The sequence below is a fragment of the Homo sapiens genome, chromosome 6 (genome assembly GCF_000001405.40).
Source record: "Homo sapiens chromosome 6, GRCh38.p14 Primary Assembly".
Lineage (NCBI taxonomy): Eukaryota > Metazoa > Chordata > Mammalia > Primates > Hominidae > Homo > Homo sapiens.
The window spans coordinates 31,494,909-31,521,309 of record NC_000006.12 but is presented as its reverse complement, the minus strand read 5'-3'; the positions used below and the strand labels follow the sequence as shown (position 1 = coordinate 31,521,309).

The following is a 26,401-nucleotide window of genomic DNA, read 5'->3' as shown; positions in this document are numbered from 1 at the left end:
AAATTAGCTGGGCATGGTGGGGCACACCTGTAATCCCAGCTACTCAGGAGGCTGAGGCAGGAGAATTGCTTGAACCTGGGAGGAGGAGGTTGCAGTGAGTTGAGATCGCGCCACTGCACTCTAGCCTGGGCGACAGAACAAGACTCCGTCTTGAAAAAAAAAAATTAAATGGCGAATTCTACGTGCTCATTGCTGATACATAGAAAAGTGATTGGCTTTTACATATTAACTTTATATCCTGCAACCTTGCTATAATTGCTTGTTAGTTCCAGGAGTTTTTTATGTGTGGATTCTTTTTGATTTTCTACATAGACAATCATATCATCTGTAAACAAAGACAGTTTTATTTCTTGTTCCAAATTTGTATACCTTTTAGTTCCTTTTCTTGTCTTACTACTTTAGCTAGGACTTCCAGTACAACGTTGAAAAGCTGTGTTGAGAGGGTCATTCCTGCCTTGTTCTGATCTTAGCAGGCAAGCTTTTAGTTTCTCACCATTAAGTGTGATGTTAGCTGTGGATGTTTTGTGGATGTTGTTTATCAAGTTGAGTAAGGTCTTCTCTATTCCTAGCTTGCTAAGAGATTTTTTTTTTTAATCATCATGAATGGGTGTTGGATGTTGTCAATTGCTTTTTCTGCCTCTATTGATATGATCATGTGATTTTCTTCTTTAGCCAGTTGATTTAATGGATTACATTAACTGATTTTCCAATGTTGAAGTAACTTTGCATACCTGGGATAAATCTTACTTAGGCATGGTGTATTGTTCTTCTCATACATTGTGGATTTGATTTGCTAGCATTTTGCTGAGGATTTTTGCACCTATGTTCATGAGAGATATTGGTCTGTGGTTTTCTTTTTTTGTGAAGTCTTCATCTGATTTTGGTATTTGGCTAATGCTGGCCTCATGGAATTAGTTAGAAAGTATTCCCTCATGGAATCCTGGCCTCATGAAATGAGATAGAAAGTGTCTGTCTTGGCTTTGCAGACGCCACCATCAGGAGCCCCATACTATCAGCCATGGTCAACCCCACCGTGTCCTTCAACATCGCTGTCAATGGTGAGCCCTTGGGCTGTGTCTCCTTCAAGCTGTTTGCAGACAAGTTTCCAAAGACAGCAGAAAACTTTCGTGCTCTGAGCACTGGAGAGAAAGGATTTGATTATAAATGTTCCTCCTTTCACAGAATTATTCCAGGGTTTATGTGTCAGGGTGGTGACTTCACACGCCATAATGGCACTGGTGGCAAGTCCATCTACGGGGAGAAATTTGATGATGAGAACTTCATCCTAAAGCATACAGGTCCTGGCATCTTGTCCATGGCAAATGCTGGACCCAACACAAATGATTCCCGGTTTTTCTTTTTTCTCTTTTTTTTGAGATGGAGTCTTAACTCTGTCGCCCAGGCTGGAGTGCAGTGGCGCGATCTTGGCTCACTGCAACTTCCGCCTCCCAGGTTCAAGCAATTCTCCTGCCTCAGCCTCCTGAGTAGCTGGGATTACAGGCATGCACCACCATGCCTGGCTAATATTTGTATTTTTATTAGAGACAGGGTTTCACCATGTTGGTCAGGCTGGTCTTGAACTCCTGACCTCAGGTGATCTGCCCATCTCGGCCTCCCAAAGTGCTGGGATTACGGCATGAGCCACCTAGCCCGGGCAATTCCCAGTTTTTCATCTGCACTGCCAAGACTGAGTGGTTGGATGGCAAGCCCATGGTCTTTGGCAAGGTGAAAGATGGCATGAATATTGTGGAGGCCATGGAGCACTTTGGGTCTGGGAATGGCAAGACCATCAAGAAGATCACCATCGCTGACTGTACACAACTTGACTAAGTTTGACTTGTGTTTTTTTTTGAGACTGAGTTTCGCTCTTGTTGCCAGGCTGGAGTGCAATGGCGCCATCTCGGCTCACTGCAACCTCTGCTTCCTGAGTTCAGGCGATTCTTCTGCCTCAGCCTCCCGAGTAGCTGGGATTACAGGCATGCGCCACCACACCTGGCTAATTCTGTATTTTTAGTAGAGACGGGGTTTCTCCGTGTTGGTCAGGCTGGTCTTGAACTCCTGACCTCAGGTGATCCCACCTGCGTCAGCCTCCCAAAGTGCTGGAATTACAGGTGTGAGCCACCGCGCCCGGCCTGACTTGTGTTTTATCTTAACCACTAGACCATTGCTTCTGTAGCTCAGGAGAACACCCTCCATCCATCTGCTCGCAGTATCTAGAATCTTTGTGCTCTCACTGCAGTTCCCTTTGGGTTTCATGTTTTCCTTGTTCCCTTCCATGCCTAGCTGGATTGCAGCATTAAGTTTATGATTATGAAATTAACACTGAATAACAACAACAACAAAAGAAAGTATGTCTTCTGGAAGAGATTATAGAAAATTGGTATAATTTTTTCCTTAAATGTTTGATAGAATTTATCAGTAAACCCATTTGGGGCTGATGTTTTCTGTTTCTGAATGTTATTAATTATCGATTTAATTTAATATATGTCTATTCATTTCATTTTTTAAATTAATTTTTTTTATAAGACAAGGTCTCACTATGTTGCCCAGGCTTCTCTCAAACTCCTGGGCTTAAATTGGCCTCCCAAAGGGCTGGGATTACAGGCATGAGCTACTGTACCTAGCTTCATTTCACTTTTAGTTAAATTTGTTTTGAATAATAATAGATTTAACTTTGGGAGGCCGAGGCGGACAGATCACCTGAGGTCGGGAGTTCGAGACCACCCTGGCCAACATGGCGAAACCCCATCTCTACTAAAAATACAAAAACTAGCCGAGCGTGGTGATGGGTGCCTGGAATCCCAGCTACTGGGGAGGCTGAGGCAGGGCAATTGCTTGAACCCAGGAGGTGGAGGTTGCAGTGAGCTGAGATCGCGCCATTGCACTCCAGCCTGGGCGACAGAGCGAGACTCCATCTCAAAAAAAAAACAAAAACAAAACAAACAAAAAAACCCAATAACAATAACAATAATAGATTTAAAGAGTTGCAAAGCTAGAACACAGAGTTTCCATAAACCCCAGCTTTCCTTAATGTTAACATCTAACAAAATTCTGTCAAGACTAAGAAACTAAGAAATTAACATTGCTATAATACTATTCGCTAAACTGTAGACTTTATTTGGACTTCACCAGTTTTTCCAGGGCCCATTAATGCATTTAGCTTTTGGGTCTCCCTAGTCTTTCTGATCATGAGTTTCTCAGTCTTTACCTGTTTTCATGACCTTGAAAGTTTTGAAGAATACTGGATAGATAATTTGTAGGATGTCCCTCACTTTGGGTTTGCCTGATGCTTCCTTATGATTAGATTGGGGTTATGGGTTTAAGGGAAGAATACCATAGAGGGGAGTGTCCTCATCACATCATTTCTGGGGGGCAAGATGTTAACATGACTCTGATTGCTTGGTAGTGTCTGCTACATTTCTCCACTGTAAAGTTATTATTTTTCCTTTTTCATACTCTAGTCTTTGGAAGCAAGTCAGCAAGTCCAGCCCATATTCAAGGTGAGAGAAATAAAATTCCAATCTCCTGGGAAAGAGATTCTCGTAATATATGTTTTGAAATTCTTCTGTAAGGAAGATTTGCCCCTTCTTCCCTATTTATTTATTTAATTATTTTTGATTAAATAAATCAGTGTGGAATGAATATTTATTTATATTTTGGGTCATAATCCAATACTATTGTAACTTTGTTGCTCGGATTATTCCGGCTTTGTCCATAGGGAGCTCTTTCAGGCTGACTCCTGTGTCCCTCTGACATGCCCTTATTTTTTGGTGGTGAGGGTTGGGAGATGGGTGGCGGTTACTTTCTGGCATTACAAGATGTTCCAGGCTCACCTTATATTTTTCCTATGCCAGCCCTAGAATCAGCTGTTTTTCTATGGAGCCCTGAATCCTTTTATCAGAGAATGACTTAGCACAACCAAGGTCTAGGCACTGGGTGCTCACTTCACTCTTCTAAGGAGGACACAGAGGTCTCAAGACCTGTGTGAACTCACACAGGCACATAAATGGCTCTCACTTCAGCACCACTTTAGAGCTGATTCAGCTGGGCATGGTGGCTCATGCCTGTAATCCCAGAACTTTGGCAGGCTGAGGCAGGCGGATCACCTGAGGTCAGGAGTTTGAGACCAGCCTGGCCAACATGGCGAAACCTCGTCTCTGCTGAAAAATACAAAAATTAGCTGGGCATGGTGGCTCATGCCTGTAATCCCAGCTACTTGGGAGCCTGAGACAGGAGAATTGCTTGAGTCGGGGAGGCAGAGGTTGCAGTGAGCTGAGATCATGCCACTGCACTCCAGCCTGGGCGACAGAGCAAGACTCCGTCTCAAAAAAAAAAAAAAAAAAAAAAAAAAAGAGAGAGAAAGAAAAAAAGAGCTGATTCAGCTCAGACTTTGACTTCCCCGACTTGATGAGCAATTTTCCATGCAGGTCTTTATTTCTTAAAGCTTCTGTTTTTCAGTATGCAGGGCTTAGGCACTAGTAATTTTATTCCCTAATATTTGGAGACTTTCCTAAAATAAACATTTCACATTTTGGTTACATGATTCACTTAGAGAATTGACCAGAATAGGCAAGAGGAAGAAGCCGGTGGAGGGAGGAGGCACATTGTTCTTTCCTGTGGAGTATTTCCCAATTCCTGCTGCTCTTTCCACATCCCTGGGCCTGGGAGAAGGATGGCACCCTTGGACCATGACAGAAAAATGGTGATTTGGAAATACCTGCCTCTTCTGTCTCCCTACCCTTCCATTTCAGTGCCCATTCTCCCTCCCAACCCATGGCCCATGAGCTTTTCCTTCTCCTAGCCTCTCACCTAGTGCTGGCTCCTCAGAGGGAAGTGAACCATCACCCCCTGGAGGGTGGAACTGGGGAGAGAGAGGCCAGAGCCTGGGGCTGGGGCAGAAGCTGCAGCAGGAAGGAAGGAGGTTAGAGAGACAGATGAGGGGTGAGATGTGAGTGCTCAGAGGGAGAATGAGGACATCCCCAGCATCTCCATAGAGGAGGGAGGAAGGGGCCTTGGGTGCTGGGGCAGAGAGAGGGGCAGGATCTGGATGGGACACCCCACCCTCAGCCTCTGGTCCTCTGACAACACCTCACCTAGTCACACTGAGGGGCTTCTCCAGGCCCAGGAGCACCTGCAGGCAGGTGTATCTCAGGCCTTCTCTGGGAGGGCCCCCCACAGCTGCCCAGCCCTGATATGTCTCATCTTCCTGGGTCTGGTCCCCTTGAGTCTTGAGTCCAGAGTTGGCTCCTCCCCTTCCTGCAGCCAGGTCAGAGTGATGTTGGCAAGTGAGAAGCCAGGTGCTCTACATGGCAAGGTGTGGTTGCCCTCAGGGTCTTCCTTGTCAGGGACCACAACTTTGGGGAAGTCGGGGAGGCACCGGATGCAGGAGATAGAGAACAGAGAGGTGGAGTGAGAGTGGGACACACTTCAGCCTCCCCTCCTCTCCTAGTCTTCCTCCACATGCCAGTGCCTTTCCCTCCCCAACTCCAGCACTTCTAACAGCCACAGCAGGAAGGGGAGACCCAAATCCCCATCACTCTCTGCCACAGTCTCTGTGAGTGTGGCCACCTCCATTTCCACTGCAGCTTTAGGGTCTGCCCCAGAGCAGAGTCCTGGGTATGCTTAGAGCGGGATACTGGAAGGTTCTTCCTTCAAATATCTGCATGGCTGTGTCTCTCCTTCTCAAGTCTGCTCACATGGCTCCTCCAAGAGGCCTACCCTGACCACCTGCCTCGGCCTCCCAAAGTGCTGGGATTACAGGCGTGAGCCACCACGCCCGGCCATTGTCCTGGCTCAATCTGATCAGGAATTCTTTTTTACTTTTTTCTTTTTGATTTTTTAGGTTCAAGGGATACATATTCAGGTTTGTTACATGGGTAAATTGTGTATCACGGGTGTTTGGTGTGCAGATAATTTTGTTACTCAGGTAATCAGCACAATACCCAATAGGTAGTTTTTTAATCCTCCCCCTCCTCCCACCCTCCACCCTCAAGGAGGCCCCAGTGTCTATTGTTCCCTTCTTTGTGTCCATGTGTACTCAATGTTTAGCTGCCACTTATAGGTGAGAATATGTGGTATTTGGCTTTCTGTTCCTACATTAATTTGCTTAGAATAATGGTCTCCACCTCCATCCATGTTGCTGTGAAGGACATGATTTCGTTCTTGTTTTTTTGGCTGGGTAGCGTACCATGGTGTATAAGTGCTGCAGTTTTCTTTTCTTTTCTTTTTTTTTTGAGACGGAGTCTCATTCTGTCACCCAGGCTGGAGTGCAGTGGCGTGATCTCGGCTCACTGCAAACTCCACCTCCTGGGTTCATGCCATTCTCCTGCCTCAGCCTCCCGAGTAGCTGGGACTACAGGTGCCCGCCACCACACCCGGCTAATTTTTTGTATTTTTAGTAGAGACGGGGTTTCACTGTGTTAGCCAGGATGGTCTCGAACTCCTGACTTCGTGATCTGCCCGCCTCACCCTCCCAAAGTGCTGGGATTACAGGCGTGAGCCACCGCGCCTGGCCCTGTGCCGCAGTTTTCTTTATCCATTCCACTGTTGATGGGCATCTGGGTTGATTCCTTACCTTTGCTATTGTGAATAGTGCTGCACTGATCACAAATTCTTAAAAGTGGAGATAACTGAAGAAATGTAGGTCAGGTGTAGTGTTAGATTTCATCTACAGTGATTTCTACATCTAGTGAAATATGATTGTCTCTTTTTAAATTATTGAATTAAGTGTTAAAATGCATTAAAAGATTTAAAGTTTAAATATTCTTTTATTCTTGGGATTCATAACTTGGTCAAGATATTTAATTTGTTTATAGCACACTGATGGACACAGTCTACTATTTTTCTCATCTATTTTACATCTAATTACTAATAGTGATTTTCCTATCTTGTTTCTTTATTATTTGTTCCCTAACTGGCTTTAGAATTAACACTATTCATAGCTGATAAAGTGAGTTGCCTAGCTTTCTGTATTTTGCTCCATTCTCTTGAATATTTTAAATAAGTCCAATAACCTTCTTTGAAGGTTTAGTAGGACTTCCCTGTGAAACAATCTGTATATAGTTGGGCAGAGATAGAATTTTTACAACTGTTTTAACTTCTTACTTGCAGTAAGTCTTTTCCATCGACATTTTTTTTTTATAATTTCAAGATTGTTTACATCTCTACTATAGCTGCAGTGGCATATTTATCTGTCATAACACTGTCTTGCTCTTAATTAACATTGTCTGTTTTTTTTCTCTGTTCAAAGAAACAGCTGCTTTTGGCAGGCTGGGTCCTCAGCAGTGGCAGCTGCCAGGTCAGCCTTGGTGAGTGGTGACTCAATTGCTCTGTCCATGCAGTGTCCATCCCAGCCACCACGGCCACTTTGTGCAGGGACTCATGAGCAAGCCTTGTGCGGCTGAGTGGCATCATCCATCAAGCCATCTCGCTCACCTGGTTACAGGGAGCCCCAGCCCCTTGGAGACCCTCTGGCAGGCATCCATATGCAACCTCTATCTTCACATGCTCTTCCCATGGAAAGTGGTCAGTGCACACTTCTCTCTTCCATCCGCCAATTTTCCAACTTTATTTTCCCCAAGTTCCAGACTGGCCAGGCAACCCATGAGTCACTGCCCTTGATTCATTCATTCATGCACTACTGGGGCATAATTTCTACCCTCTACCTCCTGTGGTCTTGTTTGGGTTTTGATTCCTAGTTCCTGGCTCGACAGCCCTTTCCAAAGCTGTTCTGGTGTCAGCTCCCAAGCCTACTGCTCTTGTAGATTCTCCTTTTTATATCTGAGTCATGGGCATTTATTTCCTGGAATTAAAAAAAAATTCACTGGTATTTTCAATGCAGCATTTCTAAGGACTTGGAGTAGGAGAAATTCTATATTAGCTTAGAGAGAATTGTTTCAAAACACCAGAAATGTAAACTTGAATGAAGGACAACATGCATGGAGAAAGGTGGACAAATCACAGGTGGGCAGTGGATTTTGCCCAAGTAAAAACTCGGATAAACAACACCTTCATCAAGCAACATCATTTTCACCCTCCAAGAAACACCGTTGAGTCATAAACCAGCCTCCCCCACCCTAGAGTAGCCACTGTCTTGATTTTTAACACTGTAGATGAGTTCTGTTGGTTCTGATTGAATGAAATTAGAAGTTGTTTTCATGTAGTTGGGCTCATCATCTTTGCTGGGCTCATCATCTTGCTGTGTGTGGTCATAGCCGATTCTCTCCCATGGCCGTCAAGTGCTCCACTTTATTTATTTATTTATTTTGAGACGGAGTTTCACTCTTGATGCCCAGGCTGGAGTGCAATGGCGCCATCTCGGCTCACTGCAACCTCCGCCTTCCCGGTTCAAGCAATTCTCCTACTTCCGCCTCCCGAGTAGCTGGGATTACAGGCATGCGCCACCACTCCCGGCTAGTTCTGTGTTTTTAGTAGAGACACAGTTTCTTCATGTTGGTCAGGATGGTCTTGAACTCCCGACCTCAGGTGATCCACCAGCCTCGGCCTCCCCAAGTGCTGGGATTACAGGCGTAAGTCACCGCATCCAGCCAAGGGTAAATCTCTTATTTTAGAAATTATTCAGCTAGTGAATGGGGAAGGAATGAGAGACTGAGACTATAATTCTTTTGCAACCCATAACGAATTAACAGATTTAGCCATTGAAAAGCAATGGCAATTAAAAGTAGAGTAGAAGTAAATAACCAGTACTAAGTTCTTCCTCCTGATGGAAGAATACAATGGAGTGCCATAAATGAAGTATTCAAGAAGAAAATCAAGTCAGTCTATAAGCAAATCTCTGTAGCCAACTACCAATTTGTAGAAAGTACAGATAAAACAGGTCCATATTAAACTATGCCTTGGGGTGGAGCCAGCAAAATGCAAACTATGGAAAACTCAGCCAGACAATAAAATTTCAAGGAGGAGCATAGAGAAAAAAAGAGAACAGGCCAGGTGCGGTGGCTCACGCCTGTAATCCCAGCACTTTGGGAGGCCGAGGCAGGCAGATCATGAGGTCAGGAGATTGAGACCATCCTGGCTAACATGGTGAAACCCTGTCTCTACTAAAAATACAAAAAAATTAGCCGGGCGTGGTGGCAGACGCCTGTAGTCCCAGCTACTCGGGAGGCTGAGGCAGGAGAATCGCATGAACCCGTGAGGCGGAGCTTGCAGTGAGCCGAGATCATGCCACTGCACTCCAGCCTGGGTGACAGAGTGAGACTCCGTCTTAAAAAAAAAAAGAAAAAAGAGAACAAAAATTATACATCCCAAGGTAAAACTAAACTACAATTTCAGAGGATGAAAATATAAAATAGAACAAAGAAGCAATCATCATAAAGGTCAGGCTGTGATTTTATGTGGGGAAGGGAAGCCTTTATCACTGAGCTGGGGCAAATGATGGTTTCTGGGCTGGCTGACAAACTTCTATATCTCTGGTGGTTAAAGAGTGTTTATCTTTTATTATTATTATTTATTATTATTATTAAAGGGCAACATTTTCAGACAGTTTTTCTTTTTGGGTACCTGTTTTATTTTATGGCAAAAAGCTAATGAAGAATAAAATAATTTATAGGTCATGATTACTGTTTTGCAGAAAGCCTACTCTCCACACCCCTCTCCAGACACTGAGCTCCCAAAACAAGTGGCAGCACCAGGACCCCCTGGCAGGGCCACCTCACTTCTGGGTGTGTTCATGTCACTGGAGGCAATGTCCCAGGTCTATTCCTTGATGCCTGGAAGAACCTGATAGGAGACAGTTGAGGGGAAGCCTTCTCTGTCACCTGCAGGTTCTTGGCTGTCACTGTAGAGGGAGCGGGTCCTCACTTCTCCCACAGGCCGGATCACAGCCAGAACCTCCTCCCTGCATGGGGAGTGAGGCTTGATCCTTTCCCTGAATACAGTGACAGAGATCTCTGTGTCATCACATGAAGGCTCCAACTCTTCAGGGCAGATGTTCCCTCACAGGGTCAGCCCCTGAATATTGGCGCCAGATGTCCCACCTCCATCCCTTCCCAGTCCTTTCTGTTCTGCTGTGAATCTGTCAGTCATTGGGAACTAGCAGGGAAAGGGAACAAGGAGGGGAGATTGCTTTGATGCTGGGTCAAGGCATTGAGACAGACCTCTCCTTCTCCCTGAACCTCACACTTTATCCGCTCCCAGACGCATGAAATAAAACACAGACCAGAAATGTCTATTTAAAGAGTAAACATTTACGGTATAAATTATGCACACATAATAGTAGACACAGAGTAATGCATAACGGTGTGACGGGGCGAGGGGACCTCAAGGTGACAAGAAAGCTGGTCCTGGGCTGGTCAGGAGGAGTCATCACCAAGATACTCACTCATAAAGTTCACCCATGATAATCTAATTACTGCACATGTAATATATTAAAATATATTAAAACATAAGAAAATAGGACAGGCATGGTGGCTAATATAATAAAATATATTACAATATAATAAAATAGGCCAGGCACGGTGGCTCATTCTTGTAATCCCAGCACTTTGGGATGCCAAGGCAGGCAGATCACCTGAGGTCAGGAGTTTGAAACTGGGCTGGTCAACTTGGCGAAACCCCGTCTCTACAAAAAATACAAAAATTAGCTGGGTGTGGTGGTGCCTGTCTGTAATCCCAGCTATTCGGGAGTCTGAGGTACGAGAAGTGCTTGAACCTGGGAGGCAGAGGTTGCAGTGAGCTGAGATCACACCAGTGAACTGCAGCCTGGGTGACAGAGTGAGACTCTGTCTCAAAAACAAAAACAAAAACAAAAACAAAAACAACAGAAATAATGATACCAATTAATATGGCACTGTTAAGGGCCCCACAACCCTGTATTGGACTGAACAAAGGGCGAACGTGGGAATAAAGAGAAAGACAAAAGAGTATATTTGGAACAAGGGGTCAGGGGGCTTCTTGCTTCTCGTGAACAAGGGCTCTGATCTTCCACAGCCCTTCGTATTTATTGGTATAGGAGATAGCAAGAAGAGGGGTGGAAGAAGGAGTCAGCTGCTGGGTCCAGAGTAGGCTTGTAAGACTGCATTCCTCAAACAATAGGCTCTAGATGACCCAGTAGATAACTCCAATGAGCACCATGGAGTGAATGCCCTCAGCAAACCTTCTGTTGGCAGGAGCAGTCGTGAGTTTGCCCACATCCTGCATTCATGATAAACAATTTGCTGTTTGATCATATAGCCTCCAATGGAATGTTGAGTTGGTCATGATCCCTTTGCTGGCTCTCTACGTGGCAGAGCAGCAAACACCTCATACCTACTAACACTTTGCAGCATCCAACAACAATAAATAAGTGATGTTATTTTCTCTGTTTCATAGGTCAGGAAACAGAGGGAAAGTGCTGGTGAGATCCAGGCAGGGAGTTGAATCCTGGCCGCCTGGCTGTAGAGTCTAGGTGCCCTCAGTGGAACCAGTGGACCCAGTAGCTGACATCAGAGGCTGAAATCCCAGCTGTGCTGCATCCCTGTGGTCTCCTGTCCCAACTGGGTGTTGATCCAGGACCTGCAGGCTCACAAGCTCTGGAGAAGAGGGAAACGGGTAAATGCTCCACTGGGTGCAGTGTTGTGTTTATTCCCTAAGGACTTTTCTCTCTTCAGTTGCCCCAAAATCAGATTCGCCCTTTCTCTGAGAGAAGATGAGGCCCCCACTTTTTTCTTCCTCCCTCCTTGCTTTTCCCAGCCCCTGTCAGTTCTCTCCCATCACTCCATCAACATCAGCCCCTGTCCTGTGCCCACCACTCACCGTGCAGGGAGTGAAAGGGCCCCAAGACAAAAGGACAAGACCCAAGAGGGAACCCAGTGCCCTCCTCTCAGGCCTGACCAGTCCTGTTACAGTGAGAGGCCTCCCCAAAGAGAGGCCCTGACCCTTGCTCTCAGTCCCCAGGCCCTTCTCTCCTGCAGAGGCACCTGCACACCAGGGCAGGCCCTGCCCACTGTGGGCCCTGCCCTCTATCTGCAGCTCAGCACTCCTCCCCTCCCAGCCCTGAGCAGGCAGCTCCTAACTGGGGACCCCATCAGGAAGCCTGGGGGGCCCAGCAGGCCCAGCATGGAAAGACGTGGCTGCCACAGGATCTGCACCTGACCTGACCCTGGGACCCCCCACCTTGCTCGAGGAGGCCTGGCCTCCCATGACCTTCAGCACCCACCTAGGCCTGTGACCTGCTGTTGAGTCACTACTGCTCCTGCCTGGTCCACTTACTCCTGGTCCACTTACTTCACCCCAGGGCTGCTGCTTGGTGAGGCTGTGAGGCCTTCCTGCTCTGTCCCTAGCAGGGATTCCACCCAGGCCACTGCCCTTGCAACCTACAAGGACTTTTCTCCACGTGGAGTAGGGGAGACCCCTTAGCCTGAGGCTGCCTCTGCCCACCCTCTGCACCTGGGAACTGCCGCTGCCACAGCCACCATCTCCACACAGACCCTTCTGGAGAGGGGGCTCCAAATTTGAGTTCCTGTTTTATTTAATATGCTTTACAACAGCAGTATTAGAGGAAATCCTATTAAGATTATAGAGCTGAAATTACGAACATCTTTATTGGACATCAACATTGAAAGCAGGAATTTTGAGAAACTGGCACATGAATTTCATACCCTTTTCCTGGCCAAAACCCCAGTGACCTACGAGGAAACCATTCCTGCCCACAGGGAACCAGAAGTGACAATCCCTCCACGGGAGACGCCGCAGGTGAGAGCAGGAGTGACCACAGACCTGCACTGCCCCTGCTGTGGGTGCCTCCTGGATGGGGCCCTCTTGCTGCAGGGCAGGGGACGAACCTTCCCATCTGCTCAGGCATGAGGGGCCGACTGACAGTGCAACTAGGTTCAAGGATGAGAAACCAGCGCCCCTACCGCCAGACTCAGGTCTCCTGGACACCCCAGCCTCTCACTGTCCCCTGCACTGCCTCTGTTTTTGCAGAAACACAAAACTTCTGCTGTCTCTTTTCATCTCCCATCAAACAACCTGACTGTGGGGGAAATGCTTCTGACTGTCCCTTACTCCAAACTTACCAGGCAGTGACCACCTTGAGAAAGGGAAATTGGCTCAGGGAGGGCAAGGTAAGGCCACAGAGCACAGAACAAAGCCTCAAAGAGATGGCGCCTGGGGACTGTGTCCCTCAGGGACTGCAGAAGAAAACACGCTGGAGGTAGGATGAAAACAGGGACCACATCTGCCCTGATGAGGGGCTGGGCCCCGCTCCTCAAATGGCCCAGGGACATCTGCTTATCTATTCATCTGTGTCATCTGCAAGGAAACTCAGGGAGGCCAGGTAGTGGGAACCTGGAAAGTGCCTCCTGGAGGAGGCACACGGGTGGGCATCGCCTCTCCTTGGATTCCTCTCCAGTTTCTGGCCCTCCCCAGATCACAGCCACCTTTACTATTTCCTCCCTCTGACACCATGATCATCCAGGCCCTCAGCAATCAGCACGTGATTCCCAACTCACCCCACCTGGACGCACCCTAGTGAGCCCGAGAGACAGAGAGGCTGGGATGGGGACAGAGCAGGTGCCACAGCCCTCCCTGCTGCCCACTCCTCACTTGCAGCAGGAGGAGGCCACAGCTGGATATTCGAAGGCCTTGCCCCAGCCCTGGCTTGGGAAGCACTTATGGGTGTAGATGGAGATGCAGCTCCCATTCCCCTCCCAAATACCCCAGCTTCCATCCCCTGTCCCAGCAGCCTTGTCACCTACGTCTTGTCTGGGCAGGAGCAATGAGGAGACCCTACTGCCTAGAAAGGAGCTTTCCCATCTCCAGAAACTGTCCCCTTTTCTCACCTGGACCCTCTGCCGCTGATGTTTTCTTCTTGCAACAAGGGACACAGAGAATAATAATAATAACAAAACATGGCATAGCAGCAGAAACATATGGAAAGTCTGTCCGTTGACTCTGAAGCACCAGCGCCTTCCCTGAAAAAAAGGGACTTGTTATACACTGGGCAGAGAGCCACAGCCGTCCTTGCTGTTCCTACCCTGGCCTGACCCTCTCCAGGGTCACCCCAGGCTCACCAGAGGGCACAGGGTGAGTGCCGTGATTCCCGCTGTGTTCCATGTAGCAGGTGAACCTCTGCTCCTCTCCTTGGCGAATCCTGGTGGCCACCCAGGTCTGGTAGGTTCCATTCCCATCAGGCAGGACATCCCCCCACTGCTGGGTGTTGTGGCTCAAAGATACCCCATCCTGACGCCAGGTCAGTGTGATATTCCGGGGATAGAAGCTGGAAGCCCTGCATGTCACGGTGATGTTGCCCTCTGAGACCTCGCTGCAGGTGACATTCACCATGGGGGGCACTGGAGAAGAAAGGGCAGAGCCAGTGAAGCCCTGCTCCCCTCTAAGGGAGATGCAGGGAACAGGGCTGCTCCTCTCCACTGTTCTCACTCTGGCTGAATCCCTCACAGATACCGGACCTTCTGTAAGTCTGTCCTCACCCTGGGGCCTAATTCCTCCAGGCTAGCAGGAGGATGGGCCTTGGGACTGTGGCCTCAGGCTCTGGGATCCCCACATTGATGCTGAGGAGGGGGATGTCAAGGGTGGACTCCTGGGTCATGGGGCCAGGAGGGAACTCTCCGGGATGGGCAGGCCGGGAGGCAGAGGGGGCAGCCCTGGCCCTGAGGGCTTCCTCTCCTGCCTAACTCCCACACCAGGCTCAGGCTTCTGTCAGAGGGCCCACTGCTTTCCCAGATTACAACACTGGACAGTTCAGTCCCAGACCCACTGTCTTTATCCAATGGCTCTAACAGGAGAGGCAAATCAGGACACAATATGCCAACAGGAAACGCCTGCATCCATAGCACAGGGAGGGTTTCCCCGGACAGAGCTGGGAGGCGAGGCAACTCTAGCAGAATTGCGGGAACAGTAGAGCCCCTGGCCAGGGTCGGTACCTGTTCTCCTGATGGCCACCCCGGATTTCAGATATCGCTGTAGTTTCTGCAGGCAGTCTGCCTGCATAGCGCGATAGTGTGTCTTGGTCTTCATGGCATCTTCCTTCCAGAAATTTGTGACGTTCATAGCCAAGGTCTGAGCTCTGGAGGACTGGGGCACTGTCGATTCTTGAGTCTCCAGGTTTTGGGAGAGGAAGAGCTCCCCATCGTAGTAGAAATGCCGGGAGCCCCTGGTGCTGCTGTCTTCATGGATCTCACAGACCCTAATCTCCTGGAGGGAATGCAAGCCTGCCCCCACCCAGCAGTGACTTCTCCATTCCCGAACCCATCACCTTTCCACCCAAGTGAGGAACTCAGCCCAGCAGCGACCCCTCCCTGGCCCTCCTCCATGCCTCCCTGTGTGGGCTGAGTTCCGGCTCACCACCCTGCTGAGCCTCCCTGACCCTATTCCTCATCCCCACCCCCAGCCAGATCCAGCGGGAAGAGACAGGTCCCTGCTCTCTGTCTCCAACTTTCCTGGAGAAGGCCTCCCATTACTCTTGCCCCTGCCGACTCTCACCTCCTTTCTGGTCCTTGATATGAGTCAGGGTCCTCCTGAGGTCTTGCCCATTCTCTGTCAAGTCCTCGGTCTCTGTGTCCCAGGTCTTAGCTCCCAGGACATTTTCTGCCCACTGTCCCTGGGGCTTTGCCCTGCGTTTCTGCCTGTCATAGCGCAGGAAGGGCTGACCATCCAGATGTCCCTCAGCGAGAAACCCTGACTGCACAGATCCATCCTGGGACAGCACCATGAGGTTGTAACGAAGACTGTGGGGCTCTGGGGAAGAGGAAATCACAGGTGAAACTTCTTCCTGGAAATAACTTCACATTGATGTTTAACACACAGGTCTGCTGTCCCGACCTCCCTGAGGAGGCAGGAAATGCGCATGGGCAAAAGGACAAGAACGAAGATTTCATATACAAGGAAAACTGTGAGGGTGGGAGGATAGAGGAGGGGGCTGATGAACAGAAGAAGGGGGAATGAAGATGGCAAACTTGTAGGTCAGGTGCCAGGACTGGGTGGCCACAAGCCCCCTAAGGGAATAGGGGCCAAGGGGAGAGGCTGCCCTGCAGGGGCAAGGGAGGAGCATGAAGGCAGTGTTGGAAGGAAGGTCTTGCCAGAGGGGACAGTGGGAATGGGAAGGGACTCAGGCTCAGAGGGACCCATGTCCAGTGTGGCTGTGGTGCACAGGTGAGGGTGAGATGGAGGCAAGGCGAGCTGCCTTGAGAAAAGACTCATCATGGGCATGGTGGGGACAAGGGAGGGGGTGGTCATGAGGCACAAGGGGTAGGAAGGTTGTAGCCCCAGTGAAGTTTATAGTGGGGTCAGTATCCCAGAGGGGAGCAATGATGTGGGCTTGGGTCCAAAGTGGAAGAGTAGCATGACAAGGCCCCAGGACAGCAATTGGATGGACCAGCTAGTGTCCACTGGGGTGGGCAGGTGACAGGGTCTCAAAGAGTAAGTCCATCTTTTCAGCAAATAGTGCTGGGGGAACTGGATGTTCAAATAATATAAAATTGGACCCTTAATTTGTACTATATACAAAAATTAACTCAAAATGAATCAAAGACCTAAACTCTAAACTCAAGAACTAAAACATAAAAATATCTTAGAAAAAAACATTGGGTATAATGTTCATGACATAGGGTTTGACAGTGCTTTCATGGATATGACGCCAAAGCACAGATAGAATAGAAAGAACTGACAAACTGGACTCATGAAAAATTCAAAATATCTGTGCATCAAAGGGCACAATCAGAGTGAGAAAGCAATCAACCCCTGAAATGAAATAAATATTGCAAGTCATATATCTGATAAGAGATTAGTTTCCAGAAGGCCAGGCGTGGTGGCTCAAGCCTGTAGTTCCAGCACTTTGGGAGGCCGAGGCGGGTGTATCACCAGGTCAGGAGATTGAGACCATCCTGGCTAACATGGTGAAACCCTATCTCTACTAAAAATACAAAAAATTAGCCGGGTGTGGTGGCGGGCGCCTGTAGTCCCAGCTACTCGGGAGGCTGAGGCGGGAGAATGGCATGAAGCTAGCGGGCGGAGCTTGCAGTGAGCTGAGATCGTGCCACTGCACTCCAGCCTGGGCAACAGAGCAAGACTCCATCTCAAAAAAAAAAAAAAAAAAAAAAAGAAAAAGAGAGAGATTAGTTTCCAGAATATGCAAAAAAGTTTGACAAAAACAACAAAACAGTCAACCCACTCAAAAATGGGCAAAATAGCCATGAGAAGCTATGTGGGGGAGAAAAATGGGCAAGACTTCAATGGCCAATTCTTCAAAGAAAATATACAAATGATCAATAAACACATGAAAAGATGCTCAATATCAGTACTCATTAGGAAAATGCAAATCCAAACCACAATGAGATACCACTTCAAACCAATCAGGGTGGCTATTATCACACACACACACACACACACACACACACACACACACAGCAAGTTTGGCAAGGAGGTAGAGAAACTGAAGCCCCTGTATACTGCTTCTAGAAATACAAAATGGCACGCCTGCAATGGAAAACACTATGGTGATTCCTCTAAAAATTAAAAAATGAAATACCGTATGATCCAACAATTCTATTTCTGGATATATACCCAAAAGAAATACTCAAAAGAAATAAATATATACCCAAGAGAAATGAAATATTTGCCAATATCCAAAAGGTAGAAGTAACCCAAGTGTCCATTGTCTGAGGAATGGATAACCAAGATGTGGTACATACATATAATGAGTATTATTCATCATTAAAAGGAATGAAAATCTGACCCATACTACAACCTGGATGAACCTCGAAATATTATAAGTGAAATAAGCCAGAATCAAAAAGACAAACATTACACGATTCTACTTAAATGAGGTACCTAGAGTGGTCAAATTCATAGAAACAAAAAGTAGAATGATGGTTACCAGGGGCCAGAGGTAGGGAGGAATGGGGAGTTACTGATTAATGGGTACAGAGTTTTGGGTTGCACAAAAATGTGAATGTATCTAATGCCACCGAGTATACACTTAAAAGCGGTTAAAACAGTAAAATGTATGTAATGTATAATTTACCACAATTAAACGTTTAAAGAACAAGAAATATCAGTCCTATTCAAATTGTTCTGAAAAACAGAGGAGGAGGGAATACTTCCAAACTCATTTTACAAAGCCAGGAATATCCTGATATCAAAATCAGGCAAAGACACATCAAAAAAAGAAAACTACAGGCCTATATCCCTGATGAACATTGAGGCAAATATCATCAATGAAATACTAGCAAACCACATTCAACAGTATATTAAAAAGATCATTCTTCATGACCAAGTGGAATGTATTCCAGGTATGCATACACAAATCAATCAATGTAATACATCGTATCAACAGAATAAAGGACAAAAGCCATATCACCATTTCAATTGATACTGAAAAAGCATTTGATAAGTTTAACATCCCTTCATGATAAAAACTCTAAAAAAACTGAGTATACAAGGAACAGACCTCAATATAACAAAAGCCATATATGACAACTCACAGCTAGTAACATACTGAATGGGGGAAAACTGAAAGCCTTTTCTTTAAGATCTGGAACAAGACAAGGATGACTACTTTCACTACAGTTATGCAACACAATACTGCAAGTCCTAGCTAGAGCAATCTGACAGGAGAAGGAAATAAAGGGCATCAAAATTGGAAAAGAAGAAGTCAAATTATCCTTGTTTGCACATCATGTGGTCTGATATTTGGAAAACCTAAAGACTCCACCAAAAAACTATTAGAACTGAAGAACAAATTCAGTAAAGTTGCAGGATACAAAATCAACATGCAAAAAACAATAGCACTTCTATGTGCTAACAGCAAATAATCTGAAAAAGAAATCAAGAAACGAATCCCATTTTCATTAGCTACAAATAAAATAAAATACCTAGGAATAGACTTAACTGAAGAAGTGAAAGATCTCTCCAATAAAAACTATAAAGCACTGATGCAAAACATTGAAGAGGACACAAAAAATGGAAAAGGCATTCCATGTTCACGGACTGGAAGAATCAATGTTTATTTTTATTTTCTGAGATGGAGTTTTGCTCCTGTTGCCCAGGCTGGAGTGCAATGGTGCAATCTCAGCTCACCACAACCTCTGCCTCCTGGGTTCAAGCGATTCTCCTGCCTCAGCTTTCCTGAGTAGCTGGGATTACAGGCATATGCCACCACGCCTGGCTAATTTTGTATTTTTAGTAGAGGCGGGGTTTCCCCATGTTGATCAGGCTGGTCTTGAACTCCTGATCTCAAGTGATCCACCTGACTCGGCCTCCCAAAGTGCTGGGATTACAGGAGTGAGCCACCGTGCCCAGCCGGAAGAATCAATTTTGTTAAAATATCCATCCTACCCAAAGCAATCTACAAATTCAATGCAATTGCTATCAAAACACCAATGACATTCTTCACAGAAATAGAAAAACAATCCTAAAATGTATATGGAATCACAAAAAACCCAGAATAGATAAAGCTACCCTGAGCAAAAAGAACAAAACTAGCGGAATCACATTATCTGACTTCAAATTATACTACAGAGCTAGAGTAATCAAAACAGCACGGTAGTGGCATAAAAACAGACACACGGACCAATGAAACAGAATAGAGAACCCAGAAACAAATCCATATATCTACAGTGAAGTTATTTCTAACAAAGTTACCAAGAACACATACAGGGCAAAGGAGAGTCTCTTCAATAAATGGTGCTGGGGAAACTAGATATCCTTATGCAGAAGAATGAAACTGGACCCTATCTCTCACCACATATAAAAATCCAATCAAAAAGGATTAAAGATGTAAATCTATGACCTCAAACTATGAAAACTATGAAAGAAAACATTGGGGAAACTCTCTAAGATATTGGACTGGCAAAGATTTTTTAAGTAATACCCCACAAGCAGAGGCAACCAAAGTAAAAATGCATAAATGGGATCATATCAAGTTAAAAAGCTTCTGCACAGCAAAGGAAACAATAAACAAAGTGAAGAGACCATCCAAGAATGGGAGAAAATATTTTCAAACTATTCATCTGACAAAGGATTAGTAACCAAAACATATAAGGATCTCAAACAACTCTATAGGAAAAATATCTAATAATCCAACTTAAAAATGAGCAAAAGATCTGAATAGTCATTTCTCAAAAGAAGACATACAAATGGCAAACAGGTATATCAAAAGGTGCTCAACATCATTCGTCATCAGATGAAGGCAAATCAAAACTCCTACGAGATATCATCCCACCCCAGATAAACTGGCTTTTATCCAGAAGACAGGCAATAAGGAATCCTGGCGAGGATGTAGCAAAAGAGAACCCTTGTACACTGTTGGTGGGAACGTAAACTAGTATAACCACTGTGGGAAATAATGTGGAGGTTCTTCCAAAAACTAAAAATATAATAGAGCTGTCATATGCTCCAGCACTCCCACTGTTAGGCATATACCCAAAAGAAAGGAAATCGGTATATTAAAGAGCTATCTACTTTTCCATGTTTATTGCAGCACTATTCAAAATAGCCAAGATCTGCAAGCGACCTAAGTGTCCATCAACAGACGAATGGAGAAAGAAAATGTGGTGCACACGTGTATGTGGAGTACTATTCAGCCATCATGTCATTTGCAAAGAACTGGAGGTCATCATGTGAAGTGAAATAAGCCCCAGGCCCAGAGAGACAAACTTCGCATGTTCTCACTTATTTGTGGCAGCCAAAAATTAAAACAATGGACCTCATGGGGAGAGACAATAGAATGACGACTACCAGAGGCTGAGAAGGGTAGTGGGGAGTGGGGGAGTGCGGATGGTTAATGGGTACAAAAATATAGTTAGAATGAATAAGATCTAGTAGATAGCACAGCAGGGTGAGTACAGCCAACAATAATTTATTGTACATTTAAAAATAACTGAAAGAGCATAATGGGATTGTTTGTAGCACAAAGAAAGGATAAATGCTTGTTGTGATAGATAACCCATTTACCCTGATGTGATTATGACATATTGTAGGCCTGTGTCAAAATATCCCATGTACCCCATAAATATATACATACATATCTACTACGTACCCAAACAAAAGTTAAAAATTAAAAACAAAGCAAGGGGTGGGGGTGCTGGCCAGAGAGAGAAAACCAAGGTAGAGGGGGAGATTCTCAGCCTGAGGAAGGACCTGCCAAAAGGAGTAATGCTGGAGGGGGAGCAGTGGCACCCCAAGAGCAGGCAAAACAGATTTTAGATATGCGGTGTGGGGAGTGAGAGCCCACTGGGGTCAAGGAACCAAAAGAAAAGAAGGAAGGTCAAGGAACAGCTGGCCCAACAGCCTGTTTTAGGTCTGGGTTGGGGAGGGGAGATGGGCAGAGCAAGAACTGGAGGGCGGCATGAGCATGGGGCAGGAGTGACTGTGGGAGAACTTGGGGTAGGGTGAGGACAGGAGGGGAGGGTGCTCTGGGGGAGGGTGGGGCTTGGGAAAGATTCTCAGCACTGTCATATGCTCCAGCACTCCCACTTTCCCACTGAAAGATGAGAACTTGCTGAGGGCCCCAGGCAGCTGGGCAAGAGATAGGAGCAGCACAAGGTCCCAAGGTGGAGAGGGGCGGAGGGACCAGGGAGGGATGGTCCAGCACCTGTGGGCTGGAGGGTGGGGTCCTCAAGAGGGTGAGGCTGAGGATGAAGGAGTGGGGAAGGGGCCACAATGAGGCAGGGCCCAGAGCAGGCACCTGCACTGGAGGGGAGGGGGCATCTGCGCTGCCCTGCGCCCTGCCTAAGGCCCAACTGCCATTAGCATCAGGGCTCTCCTTGGGGGTCTGGAGGGGAGTGGGATGGAGGGAAGACCCCCCCGGACAAAAGGCAGCACCAGAAAGTTAGAGTCAGGGACATTTGGGAATGGGGAGGCATAGGGGCAGCACGGAGTGAAGGCTGCTTGCAGGAAAGGCCCATAAAGGAGGCAGGAGGGACCTTCAGTGGCGGGGGCGGGGGATGAAGGCAGAGGACACCCTAGAAATGGATCAGAGAACAGCACACAGGAAGGGGTAGCAGGGAGCTGGGAGAGCAACAGGACCCAGGGCGCCGTAAGATGGGCAGGGAGGAGGTGAGAGGGAATCTGGTGTCCTTAGATCATTGGTCATTAGTAGGGGTGGGATGCGAGAGAGGAGAGGACCCCCGGAGCCGGAGGCGAGGGGAGAATGAGCTGGGGATGACAGAAGTCGCAGGAAGAATCCTCTGCCCGGAGCCTGCAGACTCCAACCCCTCAGCTTGAGAGTCAGGACCCCCCACAGTCCCCACAGCAGCAAGAAGCACCACCTCCGGGTCCCAAGAAAGGAGGGCCCCAACTCCAGGAGCTGCGGCCCAGGAGCTGAGAACACATCGGCTCCGGGAGAGGACAGGACTTCAGGGACCTGAGATCCGCCCCCAGCACCGGGGGAAGTGGCTGCCTCAGCGGCCGCGCTGGAACGGCCTTCCAATGCCATTCACAGGAGCAGCCCGGGAACCCAGGGGCCTCAGAAGGACTGGTTTGTCCGAAAAGTGAGAGGAGACGGAGGAGAGGCGAGGAGAGCAAGTGCAGGAGAGACCAGAAAATGCGGGTGATGCGCGATCCCGAGGAGGACTGAAAGGAGACAGGAGGTCGGGCGCGGTGGCTCACGCCTGTAATCCCAGCACTTTGGGAGGCCGAGGCGGGCGGATCACGAGGTCAGGAGATCGAGACCATCCTGACTAACACGGTGAAACCCCATCTCTACTAAAAACACAAAAAATTAGCCGGGCGTGGTGGCGGGCGCCTGTAGTCCCAGCTACTAGGGAGGCTGAGGCAGGAGAATGGCGTGAACCCGGGAGGCGGCGCTTGCAGTGAGCCAAGATCGCGCCACTGCACTACAGCCTAGGCGACAGAGACTCCGTCTCAGAAAGAAAAAAAAAAAAAAAAAAAAAAAAAAAAAAAAAAAAAGAGACGGGAGATGGGAAAGCAGGGCTGAGGTGTGGCGGGAACAGGCGGCGTCCAGCTCCCTGCACTCCAGACAGCACACCTGAGCCCCGCCCTGACCGCACAGCGCTCGCGGCAACCCACCCGGACCCCCGGAAACGCCCCGCCGCTCCCGCTCCGCCGGGGACCGCCAGGAACCCCACTCACCAGCGGCGGCTGCCGGGGGTGCAAAAGGGAAGGCGACGGCCAGAAACAGCAGGACCCGGCCCAGCCCCATGGCCCCTACGTCGCCACCTTCTCAGCTGCTCAGCAGTGGCCAACTGAATGAAACCCGTGAGAAGACCCCGTCGAAATTTAGTCACCTGCGCCCCGCTCAGCGACCGCTTATCCAGTGAAAACTGAGGCCCGGAACTTAGGGCCAATCATGAGTGGAGAGGGCGGGGCCACGTTCAGAAGAGAAAATTCTAGCGGCCTGGAGACCTGGGGAAATTTAGAAGGCGGGACCTGGCGGCCAGAAAAGGGGGAGCGTGCGCGAGCGCAGCCAAAATCAAGGACCAGCCCCGAGTAGCTGAGAGTACAGCTCCAAACTTATGAGCACGACCTGGACCCTGTCGCCCTCCCTGCATCGCGACCACCCCATCCCCGCATTCCCACCCCCAAGGAGCGCGGGCTTCACCAAGCCCCTTTCGCCGGTCCTCCCATCAGGCCGGCTCTCACTGGCTTGTTCCTTCCGGGACAGACAACGCGTGGTTTTTCTCCCAATACACTCCCTCAACCGCGCACAGCGTTACTGCAATGAGACCAGTGACCAGATTTGCAGACCTGTTTCCAGATCTCAGCCGCCTCTGCCTTTCAGAAGCACTTGCCCCAGTAGAAACGCTCAGATCACAAATTCTCTTAGACGTTTCAGCTATATAATCTCCTTCTCCTCCCTTCGACTCAAAGCCAGGTCCCCCCTTTCACCCCCTTATATCCTCTAAGTGTCTGAGGTCTCCCAGGGCCCCCTCTCTATTCAGTTCCTGGGTAATCACAGGGCCAACGAGGCGGCTCCCCATGGTTCATTACAACACCAAGCTCTCTCCAGACTCCCTTTTCCAGCCTGTTTTAGGACATCTGTACCTCTGGGACCATAGTCCCCTTCAATATGACAGATCTACAAGGACTCTCTACACGTCTCCCACCACATCATCCTCTCTTCCTCCTCAGTTTCTCTTAAGAACTTCACCATCCTTGGTCCCTTCTGATTTCCTCTTTCTCCTTCATCTCCGGGAGTCAAAGTCAGCTCCTTCAACGCTATTTCAATCCCACAGCCATAGTCTTAGTCTAGGCTTTCCCCTCCCTTCAGTCTGGATTACTGCACAGGCTTCCTAAACACTGTGCCTGCCTCAGTTACAACCAGAGTGCTCCAAGCCACCCACAGCGCCCCATCTGCTGAATGTCACACATGGTGGATGCTTCTACTCTACCATGGAAACCATAGCTCCCACAATCTATTGTCTGGCACCACCCCCATTTCTCTGGTGACATTTCCCCAGGGTTGCAGTAAACGTGGGCTCTGGGATCTCCTCACCCTATCCCACCAGGATGCCACTGCCTAAGCAGTCTCCCTCTTCCAGGTTACTGTCACCTCTGCCTTGGAACCCATCAGACCACAGCATATCCTCAAAATCTTCCCAGTTAGGCTGGTCTGAGTGCAGTGGTGTTTACAACTAATTGATCACAACCAGTTATAGATGTTTTTGTTTCATCTTCACTCCCACTGTTTCACTTGACTAGCCTTTAAAAAAAAAAAAAAAGGAAAAAGGGTCCGGGCACGGTGGCTCACGCCTGTAATCCCAGCACTTTGGGAGGTCGAGGTGGGCAGATCACGAGGTCAGGAGATCGAGAGCATCCTGCTAACACAGTGAAACCCCGTCTCTACTAAAAATACAAAAAACTTAGCTGGGCGTGGTGGCGGGTACCTGTAGTCCCAGCTGCTCAGAAGGCTGAGGCAGGAGAATGGGGTCAACCCGGGAGGCGGAGCTTGCAGTGAGCTGAGATTGCGCCACTGCACTCCAGCCTGGGCAACAGAGCAAGGCTCCGCCTCAAAAAAAAAAAAAAAAAAGAAAAAAAGGAAGAAAATCTTCCCAAGTAGATAGTGGTGACGGTGGCACAACCTTGTGATTATGCTAGAAGCCACTGATCTGTACACTTTAAAACGATAAATTATGTGTGGCATGTGAATTCTCAATTCTCAATAATAAGAATTCTGTCTGGAAAGCCTCTACTAAGAGAATTGGCTTGTCCCCAGCGCACATTCTTAGTCATTGGGACATCTAGGCAGTGGTCTTCAAACCTAGCCACTGCGTAGAACCACCTGGAGAGTTTTTAATATCCATGTTCCCAGGCCACAGCCACAACCAGTTAAATCAGTAAACCTAGGTTGGACCTAAACCTTAGTATCTTTTAAAGTTCCCTACGTGATTCCGATGTGTAGTCAAGTTTTAGAACTACTGATCTAGCCCATGGTTTGAACCTTCCTGATGGTACCGACTGTGCCCTGTCTTGAATCTTATTTTTTTCATTTACTTTATTTTATTTTTTTAAGAGAGGAGTCTTGCTGTGTCACTCAGTTGGAATGCAGTGGTGTGATTATAGCTCACTGCAGCCTCAAATGCCTGGGCTCAAGCAATCCTCCCACCACAGCCTCTTGAGTAGCTGGGACTACAGGCGAGTGCCACACACCCAGCCATCACCTACCATCTTCTACCCTCCTCCCCCATTAGACTATGAACCCTCCAGGATCAGGAACTGTGTCCATTTCTTTTTTGTTGGCCTCACAACCTTTTTTTTTAAGTTCAACTATCCCTGTCATTACTAACTATTCCCCTATCATCCCTAGCCTACACTTTTCTGTGGATGAAAATGTAATGTATTCGAGAATTTTAACAATTTCTTAGTCTTCCCATACACATTCACTGATAATTTATTTTGATCCTCATAATTTATTAAGCACAGCAGGGACTGGGGTCCTGTCCCCACCTTAGAGAGATTATTTTCACTGCTAAAGATCATAAGCATAGTTTGAGACAGAGAGGCAGATGGACCCAGCTCTCCTGACACAGGTCCCAAGCCCTTCCCTCCACGGTGTCTACCCTCCCTCCAGGACTTCCTCCGTGTGCCAGCTCCAGCAAAGGGTCTCATTCAGCTCGCCTCCAAAAAAGACTTTTAATAGTTCAATAATAATAATGAATATTTAAGGTTTGTTCTAAGGCATTTAGAAGCGGTTTCAGGGAGACATGAAGCCAGTCCTCCCCTGGGCTAGGGGAGGCCAAGAAGGTCTTGAGCTCCAGGGGAGTTGCTTCTCAGCGCCGAGGCCTGGGTCCCCTCCCCCACCAAGCCTCCCAGGTCTTCTGTTCAAAGCCCTCCCCCTCCACCCCACCTCCAGCCCCCTCTGCTCTGCCCCATCAACTATGTTTTCTCCCTCAGCACTTGCCTTAGATCCCTGGACTCACGAGCACAGAGGCGACTTCCTCCTCGCAGACTTTAGGCGCCACTGCAGGGTCCGGAAAAGAAAGAGAAA

The 26,401-nt window shown here is 47.8% G+C and overlaps 1 protein-coding gene and 1 pseudogene across 3 annotated transcripts; one reads left to right on the top strand and one right to left on the bottom strand.

Moving 5' to 3' along the window:
• Positions 980 to 2,333, top strand: PPIAP9 (peptidylprolyl isomerase A pseudogene 9; annotated as a pseudogene).
• On the bottom strand, positions 10,186 to 26,392 carry MICB (MHC class I polypeptide-related sequence B). Of its 3 annotated transcripts, none has more exons than NM_001289160.2 (6): positions 26,315 to 26,392; positions 15,439 to 15,693; positions 14,880 to 15,167; positions 14,010 to 14,288; positions 13,779 to 13,910; positions 10,186 to 11,528 (listed from the first exon to the last, which is right to left on the bottom strand). In NM_001289160.2, the coding sequence occupies exons 2-6, from the start codon at positions 15,665 to 15,667 to the stop codon at positions 11,401 to 11,403; spliced, it is 1,056 nt and encodes a 351-aa protein (NP_001276089.1). In that variant the 5' UTR covers positions 15,668 to 15,693; positions 26,315 to 26,392; the 3' UTR covers positions 10,186 to 11,400. The 3 variants fall into 3 exon arrangements, with proteins under 3 accessions (NP_001276089.1, NP_005922.2, NP_001276090.1); NM_005931.5 differs by lacking the exon at positions 26,315 to 26,392 and adding an exon at positions 23,047 to 23,165; NM_001289161.2 differs by lacking the exon at positions 26,315 to 26,392 and adding an exon at positions 23,047 to 23,165 and having other exon boundaries at positions 14,880 to 15,038.